General features: G+C 42.2%; 3 annotated features.

Moving 5' to 3' along the window:
• Positions 2,124–2,308: a silencer, noted in NCBI's record as "fragment chr8:140221580-140221764 (GRCh37/hg19 assembly coordinates)". NCBI's record gives its function as "represses an EF-1alpha promoter that drives an FKBP-Casp9 reporter gene in an ReSE screen in K562 erythroleukemia cells {active_cell/tissue: K562}" and the evidence as "EXISTENCE:reporter gene assay evidence [ECO:0000049][PMID:32094911]".
• Positions 7,761–8,960: an enhancer, noted in NCBI's record as "CDK7 strongly-dependent group 2 enhancer chr8:140227217-140228416 (GRCh37/hg19 assembly coordinates)". NCBI's record gives its function as "activates an origin of replication core promoter dependent on BRD2, BRD4, P300/CBP, MED14 and CDK7 cofactors, with strong dependence on CDK7, by STARR-seq in HCT116 cells {active_cell/tissue: HCT116}" and the evidence as "EXISTENCE:reporter gene assay evidence [ECO:0000049][PMID:35650434]".
• Positions 8,352–8,491: an enhancer, noted in NCBI's record as "active region_28025". NCBI's record gives its function as "activates an Ori minimal core promoter by ATAC-STARR-seq in GM12878 lymphoblastoid cells {active_cell/tissue: GM12878}" and the evidence as "EXISTENCE:reporter gene assay evidence [ECO:0000049][PMID:35858748]".

Here is a 20,293-nt window from a genome sequence, read left to right on the forward strand (position 1 = left end):
TAGCTGGGCACCTTTGGCGGCCACTAGGGCTCTGTACAGCTGATGTCAAAGGACAGGGTAGGAAGGATTTGGAGAGGCAAGTGACATTCAGACATCAGGCAAGGGAGATGGATTTTAGCCATTTGGGAATGAGAAGCCTTTGAAGGATTGTAAACCAGAGAGTGAAGGGATCAGAGAAATGTCTTAGAAAGGCAGAGAGATGCTCATAGCCTCTTCACCAGTGTCTCACAGCCAGCTATGGTCCATGTTTAGAACTTCGCTGCCTTCCTGTCCATACTGCTGACCTTTCCAGATGCCCTCTCATTCTGAGATCCCATCTAAATGCTCTCCCTGCCCCATGGAGGGCTCAGATCAAGAACTTCACCATTCACCCCACTTCTCAGTACCTGGGGTTCCACGGACTATCTATGCCCACAGATACATCCCAGGCAAGAGAGAAGAGCTAGGTGGAGACTTGGTTTCTGTATTAATCCATTTTCATGCTACTGATAAAGACATACCTGAGACTGGGCAATTTATACAAGAAAGCGGTTTAGTGGACATGGACTTACAGTTCTACGTGGCTGGGGAGGCCTCACAAGCATGGCAGAAGGCAAGGAGGAGCAAGTTGCATCTTACGTGGATGGCAGCAGGCAAAGAGAGAGAGCTTGTGCAGGGAAACTCTGCCTTATAAAGCCATCATATCTTGTGAGACTTATTCACTATCACAAAAACAGCACAGGAAAGACCTGCCCCCATGATTCAATTACCTCCCACAGAGTCCCTCCCACAACATGTGGGAATTCAAGAGGAAATTTGGGTGGGGACATGGCCAAACCATATCAGTCTCCTTCAGTTAGACATCAGTTCTCATAACTGAATGTTCAGAGATTGTTAGTATGTAATTATTATGCTAGAATTTGTTTTTTCTGTTTGGAAGAAGATACAAAGTAGGCCATCTGGGTGGTTATCTGTACAGAGGTTAAGGCCCTTCACTTGGTATGTGCTGTGTAACAAAGCATGAATGCACATCATTGGCAGCAGGAAAGGTCTGGGGTCAAATCCTGGCCCTGCCATTTGAAAATTAATCTTGCTTGTACAAGGTCATATAGTTTACTAATCCTCAATTTGCTCTTCTATAGAATGCAACATCTACCTCATGGAGTTGCTACAAGGATTAAATACATGTCTTAGCACTTATTCCTGATGGTAAGGGCAAATAGCTAGAATTTTCTATTAGAAAGTAAAAGATCATAGAGGAAAGAAGATACGACAAAGCATGAACCAAAGAATGATTAAACATCCCAACAGCAGCATAGTATCTGACAGTATTCTCTGGGCCAGTGCTTTGCATTCTTTAATGTGCATACAAATCACATGTTGAGGGATTCTAATTTTATATGGTCTGGGGTGTAACCCAAGATTCTGTATTTTTAACACTCAGGTGATGCCAATGCTCCTGATCCGTGGACCATACTTTAGCAAAGGCACTTTAATGAGATACAAATGTGATCTGAATACATATTGTAGTTTGAGAGAAGCTCTATACTATATCAAGAAGTTGTGGTCATTAAAGAGAAATCATTTAGGGTGACTCTAAGAGCTTTGACACTGTTGGCTGTGGAACAACCTCTGGGAATAAGGCATTGACTCAGAAGGTGCAGAGGATGCCACTTTGTGCATGAAACTTTTAGTAGTTCATTGGAGTAACAGGAAATACAGCTACGGTTTCCTGAGTATTTTCACATGTTACAGTCCTTTGTATTGTTTAATCCTCACTTTAACTCTCAGAGACAGGGACTGTCATAATTGCCAAGGAAGCCAAGGATTATGAGGTTGGGTCATGGTTTTACAGATAACCCAGTTAGGTTTGAACAGACCTATTGTGTTCAGAGTCCACAGGATTGAATATCTTTCCTTCCCAGTTCAGCAATCTGACAACAATGACAGAAGCAGAGGGACCTCCACAGTAGGGAGCAATGGCCAATGACCATGTGCTAGCCTCAGTCCTGGGAGCTCTGGGTCATCTCTGTCCTGCACTTTTTTTTTTTTTTCATTGCGTACATTGGCTTTGAAGCTGAAAAACTGAGCCTGCTGCATCCTGGGGTATATGCCGAATCCCTTTCCTCTTTTCTCTCCTTGGTCCATTAGACTTTTCAAGCACCTGCATGTTGGAGCTGGAGGAAAAGTACAGACTCCTATCCCAGCTCTGTCTGGGGCTATGCAATCCTATGAACTCGGACCTTCTCCAGTGTGTCCTTCAGCACCATGGACAAAGCCGACAGCACCTTTATTTGTTCTCTCATCATTTTGGCCCTAACCTACAAGGCTGTTTGAGGGCACATAAACAGCTAAACTCATTTTCTCCCAAACCCTTTAATTATTGTAAAAATAGAAGTCACTCAGTTATCCAACTCTATAACCATAAATAATGCACATTAATGCACAGGCTAAGAATAGGAGATGGGGGTGCCAGCCGTGAGCAACCAGGATTGGGGTAAGTGGTATGTATGAAACTTCCAAGAAGTATTTGCCCACACACCATATTATCTATACTTTCAGAGGCAGATGCCGCATGATACACTAAACAGGCTGCTTAAAATACCCAGACCAGCAGCGTCAACATCACCTGGCATGAAATTCTGGGGCTGGAGCCCAGCAATCTGTGTGTTAAACAAGTGCTCTAGGTGATTTTGATGCTTTAGTTAAGAACCATGGTTTTATTTCAAAACTGACTTCACAGGTGAATAACTTCTTCAGAACTAGAAAATGTCTCAGAGGAAGGAGAAAAAGCCTGTGTTGGCCAGTGCAGTGATTAAGAGTGGAAGGTGGGCTGGGCGCAGTGGCTCACGCCTGTAATCCCAGCACTTTGGGAGGCTGAGGCAGGAGGATTACTTGAGATCAGGAGTTCAGGACCAGCCTGGCCAACATGGTGAAACCCTATCTCTACTAAAAAATACAAACACTAGCTGGGCATGATTGTGGGCACCTGTAATCCCAGTTACTTGGAAGGTTGAGACAGGAGAATTGCTAGAACCTGGGAGGCAGAGGTTGCAGTGAGCCGAGATCATGCCGTTGCACTCCAGCCTGGGCAACAAGAGTAAAACTCTGTCTCAAAAAAAAAAAAGTGGAAGGTGGACTGTGTTGGCCAACCAATTCCTTGTGGCCCATGAGTCTTTGTCCTGTTATTGATACTGCCTCCATTGTCTGCATTCAGAAAGAATGAGTGGAATACAATGTGCCTGTTGTCCACTCCACACCATCTATTTCACCTGTACCATCACCCAGCAAAGGATAAATCCTCTAACAGTGTATGGAGCCCACCCATTCACTGTGGAAGTACAGAGGATCTTGGAGGAAAATATTTACTTATCAGACTCACCCACTAATCATGGACCAGATGACCTCCCCTGTCTACTTCTGGCTCCAAAACATCTTTGAATCTCAGAATTTCGAGTAGCCTCACACTGAAAAACATCAGAAAGATCCAGGTTCTGATTCAAAGTCCCTTAGCTCATGGGCTGTTCTCCCTATAGGAGGAGAAGTTATTATCATAGATCACATCTCTCCCCGTAGGGCCTGCAGGAAGACCAGAGGCATCACGGCAGCTGTTTTGTAAGTAGGCTGCCTGGAGCAGGATCAGACCGGTGGCTGGCCCAAGGTCTCCTGTCTAATTAGAAGGCGAGTGGCATGGAGACAATGCCACTAGCTACTGCCTCTGCCCTGTCTGTCACACAGCAATGGGATGACCTTTCTAAAGCACAGTTCTTCTGGAAAAGGCCTGACGGAGCGCCTTACTACCTGCAACTGAAGCCAAGGTTCTCAAGTTCTCCAGACAGTTTCCCACCAGCCTTCCTTGAGCTAAATCAGTGGTTCTCGAGTGAGGGACTGGGACTTTTGCCCTGCCTCCAAGGATATTTGGCAGTGTATGGAGACACTTTTGATTTTCACAATTTGGTAGAGGCCAAGGAAGCACAGGACAGCCCCCATAGCAAAGAATTATCCAGCCAAAAATGTCAATACCACTGAGATTGAGAAACCCTGAATTAAATTCTGAGCTCAAATGTTGCCTCTTTCAAGAAGCATTCTGTACCTGCATCCTCTTCTCCAAGGGGACTTAGTTGCCTTTGGGCTTCCATAGAGGTAGCCTAGATAATACAGAGGGCACCTACACTGTTACATTCATTTAATTACAGTTATCTGGTCACTGTATATTCCCTCTACTAGACCAGGAGGAGGTCTTTCCAGGCAAGAATGAAGACCAGTTCCTTTTTACTGTTTGTAGCCTCAGGTGCAGAGCATGGAGATTTTTTTATACCAAATAATTAATAGAACTTATCTTCCCATGCAGCATGTAACAACAGTTTGACACACAGTGGATATTCAATAAGTATCTCTCCAATCAGTAATATGTCTGGAGATTATAAATCGCTTTTGCCTTCCTGCTACAACCACTTAGCATGGAAAATAAAACTAACAAAGGCACTGGGCACCATGGGAAATGCAGGTCCCTGGCTCACTGTGAGGAATGGGGTTTTTTGGCAGGGCTAAGCCAGATGGGAACCCGAGGCTTCTCAATATTTATGCCAATGGCTTTACTGGAGTCACACAATCTCTGAAAGGTCACCTGCCTCAAGGTCCAGGGAAGAGTGGGAAGGCTCTGCTTGCCTCTGACTTGAAGACATTGAACAACTCTTGGGAATCAGACAAGGAAGTTTTAAAGGGGCGTCAATGGGCCTGCATTTAGAACAAATACTTAGAACAGTACTTCTTCGAGGCCCTGTCGGGAGCCACCGCATACCCTCAGTTGATTGATAGAAACCAGTGTGTTGTAATACTTTCCTTTATGTGGGTCTTGGGCTTGCTTTCTCTAGCATCTCATTGGCTCCTGACTTGCTCACCTGCCTAGTGAGCCACTGCACAGAGCATCTGGTTCTCTGCTGAATGCACAGGTACCATCTGTGCTGCAGAGGGTAGCTGACATTCTGTTTGGGAGCATCCAGAATAGCCATAGGGAAGCAGCACCCTGTGGGACACAGAACAGCCTTGGCTACTTTTTCAGCTCAGACTTCTCTCACTATGCTCATCCCCTATCAGGTTTATGGCTCTGGTGAAAATGGAAGAAAACCATACAAGACAATGGATTCCTAGTTGTGCAATCTGAAATTGTCTGCTGCTGAGTCAACTATAACTCAATAGGACTCAGCTGAATTTCTTTTATTTGCCTGCTGAAATCCTCCAGTGTCACAAGCATGACGTTGGAGCATAAAATCTATATGAACTTTTATTTGTCACCATATGCATTCTGAAATACTGAAGAAATAATTTCTTAGTAATGGCATCCCCCAACCAAACCTACGAGTTTTCGACCACAGACATAAGCTTGTTTTTGTGGGACATGACGCTTGTCCCCACATCTTCCCTTATAAGTCTTCAAGGTCCCTCTAGGATAAAATCCAAACTCCATGAGTACCGAGACCCTTCCTCAGTTTTGCCTCATAACATTATCTGCTTTCTACTCCAAGGAAATTGGAACTGCTCGGGATCTAACATCATCGTATCTCCAGGCCCTTCCTAGTCTCCACTAGAAGGTTCTCCCCCTCTCTCACACAGCACTAACTACAACAAGGATGGTGATGAGACTATAATGAGAAGACATCAAAAATACTAGCTCCACGTAGTATTCAAACTCTTCCCAAATACTAACATAATTCTCATAAGGTGTCTGCAAGACAGATCGTATTATTCTAACTTTACCAATGAGGACACTGAGTCACAAAGGGTTTAGGTAACTTCCCAGGTCAAACAGAAAGATAGACAAATTTGAATCTAGGACACAGGTTTTAGAGATTGGTGAATGCATCACCCTTTAGCACTGGACTAGCATCTATTAAAAGAACAGAAGGCTCACTTCTCTGGATTTTAGCAATTTTATCTAGCAGAGAAAGGAAAATATTGAAGGCAAGATAACTAATTTTTAATGTGAAACTACTGGGTGTCAGAAAACAAGGTGCTTCCAGGTACACTGTCTGCCTTCTTTCATCTCATAACACAGCTATGAGGACCCAGGCTCAAAGAGCCTAGGCAGATAATTGCAGGTCATCTGGCCAGTTAGCACACCTGAGGTCCATCACAGGCGCCCATCTTGGAACACGACGGGAGGTCTTCCCTCCTCTTCCTTCTCTCTCAGGGCTCCGGGTTCCAAAGAGAAGCCACACAGCACAGCCCCTAGGAGGGTGGGAAGCCCAGGAGCACCCCTTCTGCAGCAGCACCTGCAGAATCCTGGAGTGGATGCTCTGGCTCTGAGCCACAAGAGGGCGCTGCAGGCCCAGGAAGAGGCGGCCGCGGGGCCTCTACCTCCCACCTCCTCCATCGTCTCACTCTGGTCTCTAGACAGAGGCTCTCTCAGGATTCACTGAAACAGAACTCAGTGCAAACAGCACAATTTAGAAAAGGCAACAAAACCAGCCCACGCCTCTTTCTACTCATAGATTTTATAGCCCAGTGGAATCCACCCTCCACATCCCTCTAAGCCAGGATGACTCGTCTGCTCACCCTACGGCAGCCCGACGCCAGCATCTGTCCTGGGCTTACTTTATTGCATTTCCTAGAATCGAAGGCTAAACTCCTGGAAAGGGTCCGCTGGAGCTCCTTGCATCCCTGGCCCCAGCCTTTGCCGGTCTGATGGACTTGGCCCACTCTGCCCAGGACTATTGGCCAGACTTTATCATTGCCATCATCTTCATAAGTTAAAACTCACAGTTACAGTAGAACAGCATCAGCAATAGCTAACATTTGCTCAGTACTTTGTTAGGCACTAGGCCCAAAATTTTAATCCTCCCAACAACCACACAGGTAAGAACTTGTCATCCTCTTTTAGAAAAAAGAGAACTGAGTCTCAAATGTCATGAATACACGTCAACACCAGCATGTGAAGTCACGTCTGTTTGGCATCAGTCTGTCAACCCCAGCATGTGAAGTCACATCTGCTTGGCATCAGTCTGTGGTCCTTCTGCTGAATTGAGCCATTCTGGTTCTCTGATCACTTTGAGTCCACGACCTGGATATATGAAAGTCAGACTCTCATTCTTTTGCTCATTTATTCAACAAGTAATTATTAAGCACCTACTGTATACTCACACACTCTGACTATACATGCAATATAATTTGATATGGAGTCTGACCCTGAACTATGGTAAATATCACCCCAGGATTGTTCTAAGCACACTATTCAGGAACCAAGAAGACAGTGATTCCGAAAGACAGGTAATGAGGTGACCAAAATTACCAGGATAATACAGAATGGCAGACTATTTAGTACTGTTCTCAGTTCCTCTCTCTCACCAAGGCCATCTGGATCTATGCCCTCCTCTTGCCACTCTTGATCAGGCTGCAGGTGGCTCTTTGGGGATACTCTTTTATCTTGTATTAAAACGCTGAGTCAGATTTTCTCCAAAAGGACTTACGACTGTGGATGGATATGCCTGAATCCATGGACATCTCTAAATACTGGAGAGAGGGCTCGTTTCCAAAATGAACCTAGCAGAGGCAGCCCAGTGACACAGACATCGAGCAATATCTTAGAGCTAACGGTGGATGCAAGGAGAGGCTGCATGAAGGCCGTGGAAGAGACAGGGAGGTCTGAGTCCTTGAAATACCATTCAGCCGTGTGAACTTGGACCTTCTCCCCATCATCTCTAAGCCTCATTCTCCTCACTTGTAAAAGAGAAAGTGAGATTTAATAAGCTTTCCACCTTATTCCTGTTTTAGTAATCACCAATTTTATTATACAGCTCACTATTAGCGGTCTGACAGCCAGTCATCTCTAAATCTAATCTCTAATATGCAATATCCTCATCTTGGAAATAGGGATAACATTAATGTCCTTGAAACATTGACATAAGAATTAGATAGAAAACGTTCGTATACCTTGCACTTGCTTATAACAGGGACCCAACACATCATAGCCATAGCTGTAATTAGCAAAATAAAGGTCGATAACGGAAAACTAAAATCAGAAATGCAATTCCTCGGGGCATGAGACTCCATCCTAATGAATTTCCTGGTTCCGCAAAGGAGGCGGCTGTCAAATCCCCTCCATGAGTCATCAGCTCCCTCCTCCTTCCTAAGGTCCTCTCTTCTGTGACTCCAAGCCTCCACTGTTCTGGAGAAGGGGGTGAGGGTGAGCCAAGGCTGATCAATGAGGCCACAGAGTGTTTGGGATGGGGGTGGAGTGATTGTTTGTTCACCAGAAAAAAAAAATGAGGAGGTTGGACATGATGAGGCATAAAGGCCCTTTCAGGTGGGAGATCTGAAATTGGCAGAGGCCCAGAGAGAGGAAGTGACTCACCCCAAATCATACAGCTAGAAAGACTAGGCAGAGCTTGAATTTAAACATTGCTTTAAAAAAAAAACAAAAACAAAAAACCCAACTGCAAGAGTGTCAGTGAGGCCTGGGCTTAGAAGTTCCAGAACCTGTGTTGTTGTCCTTGTCGTCTATCAGTACTGGAAGCAAGACACATGCTGTGTGTGCAGGGGGTTCATAGGAGGCGCCGTATTTATACCTGTCTGTGCTTTGTGGTCATAAATTAATTCTGAGGTCATCAGAGAGACAAAAGAGGATGAGCAGAGACGTCCCTGTTCTTCCTAAGGAGAAGGGATGACCTATGACCATCCTTGCCCAGACTAACGTCATTAACATACAAAAACACAGACACACTGGAGCAGGACAGGTCAGTCCATGGAGAACAGAAAGAAAGGAAGGTCATCAAGGCCAACTTTGGCGGTGCCCAGCAAGAGCTGCCCTGGGCCCAGCTGCCTTCACCCCAAGGACACTCGCAGCTGCATGCCCTGAAGCCAGGAAAATTTCGAACCATCCAATCAGCAGCCTCTGCTCTGAGTCACAAAATCACATCTGCAAGAGCCCCTGTATGGAAGAAAACTGAGTCATCTTCTCCTTTCACAATAATAAAAATAGTTCCCTCATTTGAGCACTCATGATATGCTAAATGCTTTACATTTTAGCTCACAAAAATCATATAAGGTAGTTCCCATTTATCCCCATTTTGAATAAACAAATGCAAAGAAAGGTAAATTATCTTTTTTTAAAACCTAAGCTCTAAAAGCTAGAAATTGGCAGTCTTGATTTCAGACAGATCTGCCTGACTCCAAAAGGTTTCTGCTAGGATACTCTGCTGTCTGAAACTTCTTCTACAGCCATGTCATATGTTGATATGTGATATGTAAGCATACATATAAACATACTTTAAATGTAAACATGGTAAATGTTCCTTAGGAGTAAATGGAAAATTCAAGCAAATACAAGGACGATCACTGTGGGATAAATGTCAAAAATGTAATGTTTTACTCTAGCCTCTCTCCTCTTTGTGCACACACATTCAATGATGACATACTTTTTCAATCTGCTTTGTTAAATGAATATATTGCCTGTATTTTGCACATTAATTATCAATATAATTCTAAATCATTGCCTGCTAGTTCATTATTTGGCTCTACCATAATTTATTCAACTGATCCCCTCACTGCAGGGTGTTTAATTGTTTTGTTTCTATCACAAATTACACTGTAACATTTGCACATGTAAATATTTGTGTGCATAGCTCTGACTATTTTCCTGAATTATTCAAAGGTTCCAGGTATTTCTGATAGGTCTGCTTAACAGGGAGAGAATGGGATTGACACATGAATATACATCTACCAGTGTGGCAGAACTACTTCTCATTGTAATTTAATAAAGTGGCGTTTGGTTCACTTTATCCACTCCTGCGCGATTAGCTAATGTGAGCGCCCTCTAAGCGAAGCCAACACCCCCGGGGGCTGTTGAAATCATCTTTCCGAGCCTGCAAGCCCCTGGATGCTGGTGCATTAATCAAGGTGAATGCTCCCTCGCGAGGCTTCCTGCCTGCCGGGCGGTGAACTAGCTCTCCTGAGAAAGAGGCACACTCAACAGGCAATTGCTTTCCGTCCTGAACCTTTGTCCCAGAGGAAAGCAAACACTGATTGATCATTATAATTGTATGAATGAGAAATGTCATTCTTAGCCTCTGCCTTTTATAAATTCTTATGGATTCAAAGCCAGACAGTTGCTTCCCTCTTAGAAGGATTTACAAATGAGAAAGACAAATTTTTTGTCTGAGGAATGTGAGCTCCTTGAAATTATCAGGCCCAGAGAGGCATTGAAATGTGGCAGTCACCTCTCACTCCCTGCCTGAGGTAAGTAATCACTTCTGGAAGCTACTTGCTATGTGGACTCTAGACTAGCTGACAGTAAGTAGCCAGAAATTAACCTAACAATGCCAAACACTGGAAACCATAACTCATATTCTAAACCTGAATAACATGAGCCAATAACATATCAACATCATTCCTGTAAAACAGTGAGATTACCTGAAACACGACTTTTGTAATCGCCCCCTCTCCTGAGTTGTCCTTTTTTCTCTCAAATCTCTAGCTGCCGTCTTTGTTCTCTACAGCATTTCCCAGAGTGTCCTGAGCTGGGCAGCCGTGCTCAATCTTGGCCCAGATAAAACTCTCCATGTTAATTTTGCCTTGTTTTTTAGAATGTAAGTTGACACATATGTCTACAGATTCGTGACTCATGAATGGCCAGCTTAATAGGAAAGACAACACAACATTAAGCTCAGGAAGAACTTTCAGGGTTCCCCCAGGGTCTCCTCCACGCCTCTCCTCCTATCTAGTCCTGCCACACTCCCCCACACCCCACACATACATCATTACAAATGCTACACTCCCTGTCAACCTGCCGTTTCCCCAGCTCCTCTGGTCCCCCCCATCTCAGACCCACAGGGTGCTTCACTGAATTGTCAGAACTGTCTGCTGAAAGATTTCTCAGAAATTCCAGCCTTGGTGAAATCTCTTAATAGCTTTCTGCTGTGTCATGGAGGGGGAGCCCAAATTCAAGGTTCTTCAAAGTTGGCCACCAAACCACTTCTCCAGCTTCATTCCCCATAATAAAATAGCTCCAGCCATTCTGAACTATTCATTTCCTACCCCAGTGTTCACCATTTCTTCCTCCTTACTTTGCTTATGCTTTTTACTCTGCCTACAACCTGCCTCTGCTGTAGCTTCGTTTCTGAAGCTGCCAAGTGACCTGCCTGTATCAGCTCCACTTCTTGGGTTCATCAGAAATGCCACCACCTAGATCGAATTCTCCCCTGAGGACTTCTGCCTCCAGCCATGATGGAGTGGCAAGCAGCAGAGCAATGCAACCTGAAGAACAAACAGAAGAGCCCACAGAGGAGCAGAAGATGTGTTCCAAGGAGTCAGATCGCTATGGCAGCATTTGGGATTTGGGGAACCAAGAGTTTTGAAAGGAAATGCAGAAAAATATACTCACACTCTGCACCTGACTTTTCCTCAGTGTGTTTGCCAATTCGTGATTGAGGGTATGGGGGCTACGATCCCACATAATCCAGCTGACAAAGGACCACTGCTGGAAGGCAGAGAAATCAGAATGAAAATCTTACAGGGCAGGAGAGACCCCAAAAATGGGGTTTGGGGGTGTCAAGGCAGCCAGGACTTAGGACCCAAGATGCCAGTAAGAAACTAGGCACAGAAAAGTGGGCCTAGCATTCAGCTGGTTTCTCTGCAAATCATTGATATTCAAGTAAGCAGTGCTTAGAGCCTAAGAAGATCAGCCAAAGCCACTGAAAACAATCGATTAATGTAGAGCATCATCCTAACGTGCTGAGAAGACAAACCTTGGTTCACAACCAACAAAGACCACATGTTCTCACTTAAGTGGGAGCTGAATAATGAGAACACATGGGGGAAGAACAACGCACACTGGGGCCTGTCAGAGTTCTTCAGAGTTGGCCACCAAACCACTTCTCCAGCTTCATTCCCCCTTCCTTGTAAGGACCATAATAGCTCCAGCCTCCTGTGGGGAGTGGGAGGAGGGAGAGCATCAGTAAGAATGGATGCTGGGCTTAATACCTAGGTGATGGGATGATCTCTGCAGTGAGCCACCTATGGCACACGTTTACCTGTGTAAGAAACCTGCACATCCTGCACATGTACCCTGGAACTTTAAAGTTGGAAATAAAAATATACAGCCTGAACTAGAAATGTCCTCTAAGCAGATCCCCTGTAAGGAGGATTTGTAATAAACAAATATAAAAACCTACAGATCTCAGGTGCTAGATGCTAAAAGAAAATAAGAGAAACTAACAGGTAGAATAAAATTTTATTCTGTTTGTTCAAACACACACACACACACCTGGGAGGCCAGCTCACCCACTCAGCAAAACTCAGAGCCATAAACATCCTGCCACTTCCACACAAACACTCCCCCTGACCCCCAAGCTGTTGTACAAATATGAGATTAACCAAGTTCAGATGTGAGCCAGAAGCAGCCTTGAGCTTCCCCCCATTACCCTTGAAACAAGCAATATTGGTCATCTTTCATTTTTAGTACATGTACTCCCCTTCCTTCTCTCCCTCCCTCCCTCTCTTCATTCAGGAACTGTGGGACAATATAAAATGGTGACAACATAACAGGCAGACAACTGAAAAACCAAATGAACAAGAAAGAAAGGACATAAATAGTTGAAGTAATGGCTGGAAATACTTCAAAATAGGTGACAGACACACAACCACAGATCCAAGAGGCTCAGAAAATACCAAGTAGGATGAACACCAAAAATAAAGTTACCCAGGCATATTATACTCCAACTGAGGGAAACCGAAAGAAAATATTAAAGGTAGCCAGAAAATGAAGTCTTAAGGAAAATTTAAACATTTTTTGAAGTTAAAATAATGCAATTATTAAAACTTACGAGATGCAGCAAAAGAAGTACTTAGAAGGAATTTAGAACATTAAATACCTATATTAAGAAAGCAGAAAGACCCAAAATTAGTAGCCTAAGCTTACACTTTAGGAAATTAGAAAAAGGAAAACAAAACTAAAAACAAGTAGAAGAAAGGAAATAGTAAAAATTGTAGCTGAAATAATGAAATCAAAAGCAGGAAATTAGAGGAAATCAGAATCAAAAGTTGACTCATTGAAAAGTTCAAATAAAATGGATAAACCTATAGCCAGGAAAATTGAAGAAAAAACACAAATCATGATCAGAAATGAAAAAAGAGGTCATTGCTACTGATCCCATGGAAGTTAAAAAGATAAGGAAACACCATGAGCAACTCTATCATCATAAATTTGATAACTTAGATGAAGTAGACTAATTTCTTGAAAAAAACAAAGCTTATTCAAGAAGAAATAGATAACCTAAATAGTCTTAAAGTGAGATCCATCCCAGAAAGGCAATGCAGGTTCAACCTTCATAAACCATTATAATTCATCATATTAACAGACTAAGAAATCATACAGATACAGAAAAAGCATTCTACAAAATGTAATACCAATTCATAATAAAAACTCTCAAAAAACTAAGAATATACAGAAACTTCCTTCACTTAGTGAACAGTATTCATGAAAAATCTACAGCTAACATATTTAATGGTGGAAAACTGAAACTTTCCTCCTGAGATTAGAAGCAAAGTATGTCCCCTTTTACCTAAACTCCTTTTTAACATCGTACTGGAAGTCCTTGCTGGTGCAATAATACAAGAACAAAAAATTGTCACACAGGTTAGAAAAGAAGTAAAACCATCTTTGTTTGTGGATAACATGATTGTCTATCTAAAAACCCCAAGGAACCTACAAACTAATTTTTGGAGTTAATAAGCAAGCTTAGCAAGGTTGCAGGACACGTGGTCATTTGCTTTCTTATGTATCAGCAATGAACGATTAGAATTTGAAGTTTTTTGAAAACCATGGTAGCTCCAAAATATAAGTATAAATACAACAATGCATGTGCAGGGTCTGTATGCAGAACTACAAAGAAATCAAAGATCTAACTGTGAGAACAGCCAAAACAATTCTGAAAAAGAAAATGCAGAACTCACATTACCCAATTTTAAGACTTACAAGACTCTTGATTTCTGTAAACTTTTATAGTATTAGTGAAAAGATAAATTATCAATGGAATAAAATAAAGAGCCCAGATAATGGTATACTCAGTCTGATTTTTAACAAGGTGGAAAGGCAATTCAATGAAGAAAAGAGTCTTTTCTTTCAATACACAGTACTGGAACAATCGGACTTCCAAAAGCAAAACAAAAAACTTCAATACCTCACGTCTCACACTGAAACATTAGCTCAAAATGGATCACACACTTGATGTAAAACACAAAAATAGAAAACTTCTACAAGACAACTTGGGAGAAAATCCCCATGAACTTGAGTTTGTGATGAGTTTTCAGACACATCACTGAAAGCACGATCCATGAAAAAAATTAATAAATTGAACTTTAAATAGAAAACTTTTGCTCTGTGAAGACATTATTAAGAGAATGAAAAGAGAAACTACAGATTAGGAGGAAATATTTGCAAAAGACATATCTGATAAATGACTTTTGTTCAAGATACACAAAGAACCCTTAGAACCTTATAAGAAAACAAATAACCCAATTTAATAATGAGCAAAAGATTTGTACTGGCATCCACCAAGGAAGATAGACAGATGGAAAATAAGCATATGAAAGGATGCTTGACATCATTTGTCATTCAAGAAACACTAATTAAAAACAAAATGAGATAACACACCTGTTAGAATGACTCAATGCAAAAAAAAAAAAAAATTGACAATACCGGTTATTGGCAAGGATATGGAACACCAAATTCTCATTCATTGCTGATGGGAATAGAAAATTGCACAACTACTATGGAAGACAGTTTTGCAGTTTCTTATAAAGTTAAACATATGCTTATCCTACAGCCTAACCATCACACTCTTAGGTATTTGCTCACCCACACAAGAATGTTTATAATAGCTTAATTCCTAATTGCCAAAAACTGGAAGCAACAAGGCAAGATGTCTTAACCATTAAATAGACAAGACAAAGTACAGTACAGCTATACGATGGAATACCATTTAGCAATAACAAGAAATGAACTATTAATCCACACGAAACATGGATGAATCCTAAATAGATTTCATGAACTGAAAGAAGCCAGATGTAAAAAGCTACATCCTCCATCTTGTATAATTCCGATCATATGGCATTCTGGCAAAGGCAAAACTCCAGAGACTTAAAACCCATCAGTGCTTGTCAGAGGTTTCGGGGAGGAGGAGGTTATCTGTCTAGAGGATGCCCAGGGCACATCCTTGTGATGGTGGCACTAGTCTGTATGGCGCATTCTGTAGCACTGGATACATGATGCTACACGCTGGTCAAAATTCACGAATTTATAGCACAAAACGTGGACCTTAATGTATAAAAGTTTTGAAAAATCAGTTGGGAAATCGGGGATCTCAAGATGGACTACTGTGACAAATTAACGTGTTACAGAGGTAATAGAGAACCTCCCTGCAGGGGTGAAGGATAATGGTGCTGACCTTTGGAAAGTGATGTCTTGACTGGAAACTGGAAGATTAAAAACAGAAGGAATTTTACATCAACACTGGGATCTTAATAACTTATTGGTTTCTCATGAGGGTGTAGATGAACCATTCAGAAACTGTTGCTGGATGGACTAAATAAACAGATGGTGGAAGATAGGGACAAGGTTTCTCACTATTGGAGGGAGAAGTTGCAGATAATTAAGAGGCAAAGTCTAGAATGAACCATGTGGGACTGGATCAGGGTCAGAGACTCCAGTATGAACTCAGGGTTAGCTTTAGATACAAAGTAATCTGTTCAAAATACATTGTTAGGAAGATGAAAAGACTACACATCAGGAAAAAAATTTGCAAATCACACATCTGACAAAAAGACTTAAATCCATAATATACAAGGAAATTTCAAAATTTAGGAAGAAGAAAACAACTCAGTAAGTGGTCAAAGATTTGAACATACCACTCACCAGAGAATACATACAAATGACAAATAAGCAGGTGAAAAGAGTCTTAGCCTCATTAGTCATTAAGGAAATGCAAATTAAAACCACAATAATTCAGTGCTGGTTAAGATGTGGGTCACCTGGAACTGTCATACATTACCAGTAGGAAGTCATACATTACCAGTAGGAAGGTAAATGATAACAGTCAGTTGGAAAAACAGCTTGACAGTTTCTTAAAGTTAAACATGCCTTTTTTTTTTTTTTTTTTAAATACAAAACCCAGTAGTCTTTCCTAAGCATTTACCCCAGGTGAAATGAAAATTAGGTTTACACAGAAACCTTTACCTGAATGTTGGCAGTGATTCTGTTCATAATCACCAAAAACTGGAAACAGCTCAGATATTTAACATGTGAATAATACATGAACAACATGTAAATAACACGAGATAAATAACACTTGAATTTAACACATGGATAAACTCACTATGTTATACCCACACAATAGAATCTTAACAATAAAAAGGAATGAACTGCCGCACCCAGAAATGTGGATGGATAGATGCCAAACCTACTATGCCCAACGAAAGACACCAGGCTCAAGAGGCTACACGCTGTGTGATTTCATTTTTATGACATTCTTGCAAAGGCAAAACTATAGGAAAAACAGATCGACTGACATTGCTTCTGGACAGGGGGATGGATCAGCCACAGGGGGGGCATGTCAGCATTTTTTGGAGTGGAGCTTTTCTATGTTTTGATTTTTGGTAGTTACACAATTTTATGCATTTGTCAAACCCTGCAGAACTGTACACTACAATAAGTAAATGGTACTGTAGAATAATGCTGTGCCTTAAAGGGTCTCTATCAAGTACCCTGTAAAACAGAAGCATCAGAAGTGAGTTCGATGGGGAAGGATCACTCGGATGACAAAATGCCCCTTAGCCCTCTCCAAGTGTAACCTCCCATCTCTTGGTCTGTGTACAAGAGGTATGGAATGGGTATGAGGCATGGAATTCCAGAAACTAGAATGCATTTGTTCAAATGCATATTCAGTGGGAAACATAAACAAAGTAAGAAGACATGTAGCTTCCATTTCTCCCCTAGGAAGTCAGGATGCAGAAGCAGAGCTTTCCAGCAGATTTTGAGCAGTCACGGAGGTCGTGGATCAGGGTCAAGGCACGCTACTATGGCAGGCTGTGTCACGGTAATACTCACACATAAGAGTTGACCACACCGGCAAAACAACAATCTTTGGTTTTCCTGTTTTCCCTTCTGCAACCACTTTCCTTTTCATGCTCTTTTCCCCCCAATTCATTTGAATTTTTCTCCTCTTATTGTTTGGCAGAGCTTAAGGGTCATTATTTTATATTAAACTGAAGAACGCAGGAAAGAACTGGGCTCGCAGTTCTGCATAAAATGAAAGGTAATTTTTAAAAATGTTAATAGAGGACATGATGTGCTTTGGGAGAGTGGAGTAATTGGAGCATCATAGGCTTTGGAGAGGCTGGCAGAGTTTGAATGCGAGCATTGTCTCTTGCTAGCTAGGTGACATGGCCTAGTTATATAACATCTCAGAGCTTGCTACGCCATTCTGATATGGAGCTGCCTACCTCACAGGGCTGTTGTGAGAATTAAATGAGATAAAATTACATAAAGCATTTAGCGTTGTACAGCATGTCAATACTGCATTGCTATTATTATTGTAACTTGCTGTTATTATCACTATTTCCCCTCAAATATGACAGGGCTAAAACATTTTCCAAACCAGTCCAGGCCTCCCCAGGGCTGGAGATGGGCAGGCCACCCTTGGAAAGAACTTAAGTTCATCTGTCTTGGTCTCTTCAGTGCTGCTTCCCCACAAAACTTCCTTCTAATGCCATTTGCATTTTCAGAGGGTACTTGAGAGAGACTGTGTAGATATATCATTTTTGCAGTGAAATCCACCCTATGTAGCATACAGTGAGATCTGCAGGGTGTGACCTCAGGACTTGTCTGGGGTCGCTGCGAGGCACAGAACTCGGATTGTACTCAGAGAAAGAAATGGCAGGCAGGGCCAACTGGGTTTAGCAACATGGTGAAGGTTTTTGAGCAACGGAGTCAGTCTTCGGTTATATTCTATATCCATCACTTCCTAGCTATGTTAACTCAGGCAAGTTCCAGGACTCATCCAAGCCTCAGTTTCCTCATCTGTAAAATGGGAATGATGATGATATGTGACTTCAATCAAATGACATGACAACCTCTTTATATAATATCTGAAACTTAACCAAGAAATTAGAGTTGTAATATTTTACTATCAATATCACCATCTGTCATTTTCACATAAAGAAGTATTTTTTAATACTGAATTCTGCCCAACACATCTTTCTCTCACTTCCTTATTCACCAAGTATTTCTGAGTCACTACCAGGGAGATAGAGGAGGCAGCAAGACAAAGTCCCTGCTTTCGTAGAATTTATAGAATTTTATTTTGGGGTGAGATGAAAATAAACAAGGTAACAAATATGTAACTTCAGGTAGGGATAAGAGCTCTGATGTATAATTCAGCAGGATTAGGGTTTTGAGATTGAGACGAGGGTGGTCAGGGCAGATGTCCTTGAGGAGAAGACTTTTCAGTAGAAGTCAGAACCTCATAGGAGCAGATCAAGCAATGATCTGGGGAAGAAGGTTCCAGATTTGGAGCTGCTGGTAGGATGGTGGACTGGAGCCTGCTGGACCTTCCCCCGGCTGAGATTATCTGATTTGCTGAAAACGACTAACAGGCATCCTCTTGCATTGTCTTTGCTCACCAGTTTGTTCTATTTCCAGATGGAACTCCTAACGTTAGATCACTTTGGGGCCTTCAAAGACCCAAAATAAAATATAGGCCAAGTTTATTTCACCAGATTTAGGTGTGAATATCCCCAAGGACCTGGCCTGTGGACGGCCAGAGAGGAGAAGCAGAGAGGGCCCTTTGACAACCCCAGTGGGTGTCAGGAGAAAGCCTTACCTTCTGCTAGCTTTCCCCCACAACAGTGTCATGGGAGGGGAATACAAAGAAAAGCAAAACTGTATTTTCAGTATATTTTACAACAATGGAAAAACAAAGAAAGCCCTATTTCCTGGGTAGCGAATAAAAAAGTAAACTTCAACTTGAAAAACTTCGAACAACAAGCAATTAACTAGGTGGCAGCAAAGCGCACCAAGAGAAAAGATGAATTGCCTGAAATAAATAAGGGCTGGGAACAAAAATGAGAAATGTTCCCGAGGTAAATGGACTATAATGCAAGGCTCTGTGAAATAAAGAAGCAACTGTTTAATGCAAAAACAATGGGAAAGGCATCTCACTCGAACCACAGTCATCGAGGGAGATGATGGGTGATTTTTTTAGTTGCTGGTTGAATGGCTGCACCTACTGCATGCCAAGTGCCTACCACACCATTTCTCTACTCATGCTTTGCAGATCTGCCTGGAAATGCATCTTTTCTGACTCCCCCAGGCAGGATTACTTGCTCTGGATCTGCAGCGGCTCAGATCAAGGTGCTCTGCAATGTGGCTACTTATTTCTTCCTCTCACTAAATGGCATCCTCTGTAGGTATGAGCAGGTATAGTGTATTTATTCATCCCTTAAAAATGCCTGTGCATTTTTGTTCTTGTTAATTGGATTGAGATACTCTGTTAAAGTTAAGGAGAGAAGACAGGTGGAGACAGAAGAAAGGAATTTGATCAATATTTATTAAAGACCTTCTATTATGTAGTTCAGATTCCAACAATTAACAGGACAAAAATCTCTGCTTTCTGGGAGCTCAATGGGAGAAATACATGTGAATATGTCATTTCAGTATCATGAGCAAATGTTAAAGTGGGGGATGTCCAAGATACTACTACAAGAGTACCTGGATTATTTTTCTTACCCAGCTGAGAAGTTAGCAGGGATTTCTGAAAGAGGCAAGTCCTGATCTGAATTTGGAAAATTTGGAAGGACAAGTAAAAACTGATCAGACAAGGAGAATGCCATGCAGCCTCATGCACACGTGCAAAGGCCAGAGGGTCTGATTGAGTCAAGTTCCTTCTGGGAATAGCTATTGGAATGGCGGGAGCTAGAGGTGAGTGCATGAGCACCTGATGGAACTGCCTGGGGATTAAATGGGGTTGTGACCCTCTACGTGGGCGTGTTTGACTTCCTCCCCTCACAGGTAATGGGTGGCCATGAAGGGATTACAAGCATGAGGAGGTGCAGGAGGCATGATCTGAGTGATGTTTTCAGATGTCCTCTTGCAAGTCAGGTATGGGGTGAGCGGGGCAAGGCTGGAAGCACAAAGATCCACCAGAAGACTGCTGAATAGTTCCCGATGAAATAGTGGTGGCTTTATACAACAGTGGCAGGGGGAATGGAAGCAAGTAGTTGGATTGGAGAGAGATTAAAGGGTAGAATGAATTAGAATGAATCA

The sequence above is a fragment of the Homo sapiens genome, chromosome 8 (genome assembly GCF_000001405.40).
Source record: "Homo sapiens chromosome 8, GRCh38.p14 Primary Assembly".
Taxonomy (NCBI): Eukaryota; Metazoa; Chordata; class Mammalia; order Primates; family Hominidae; genus Homo; species Homo sapiens.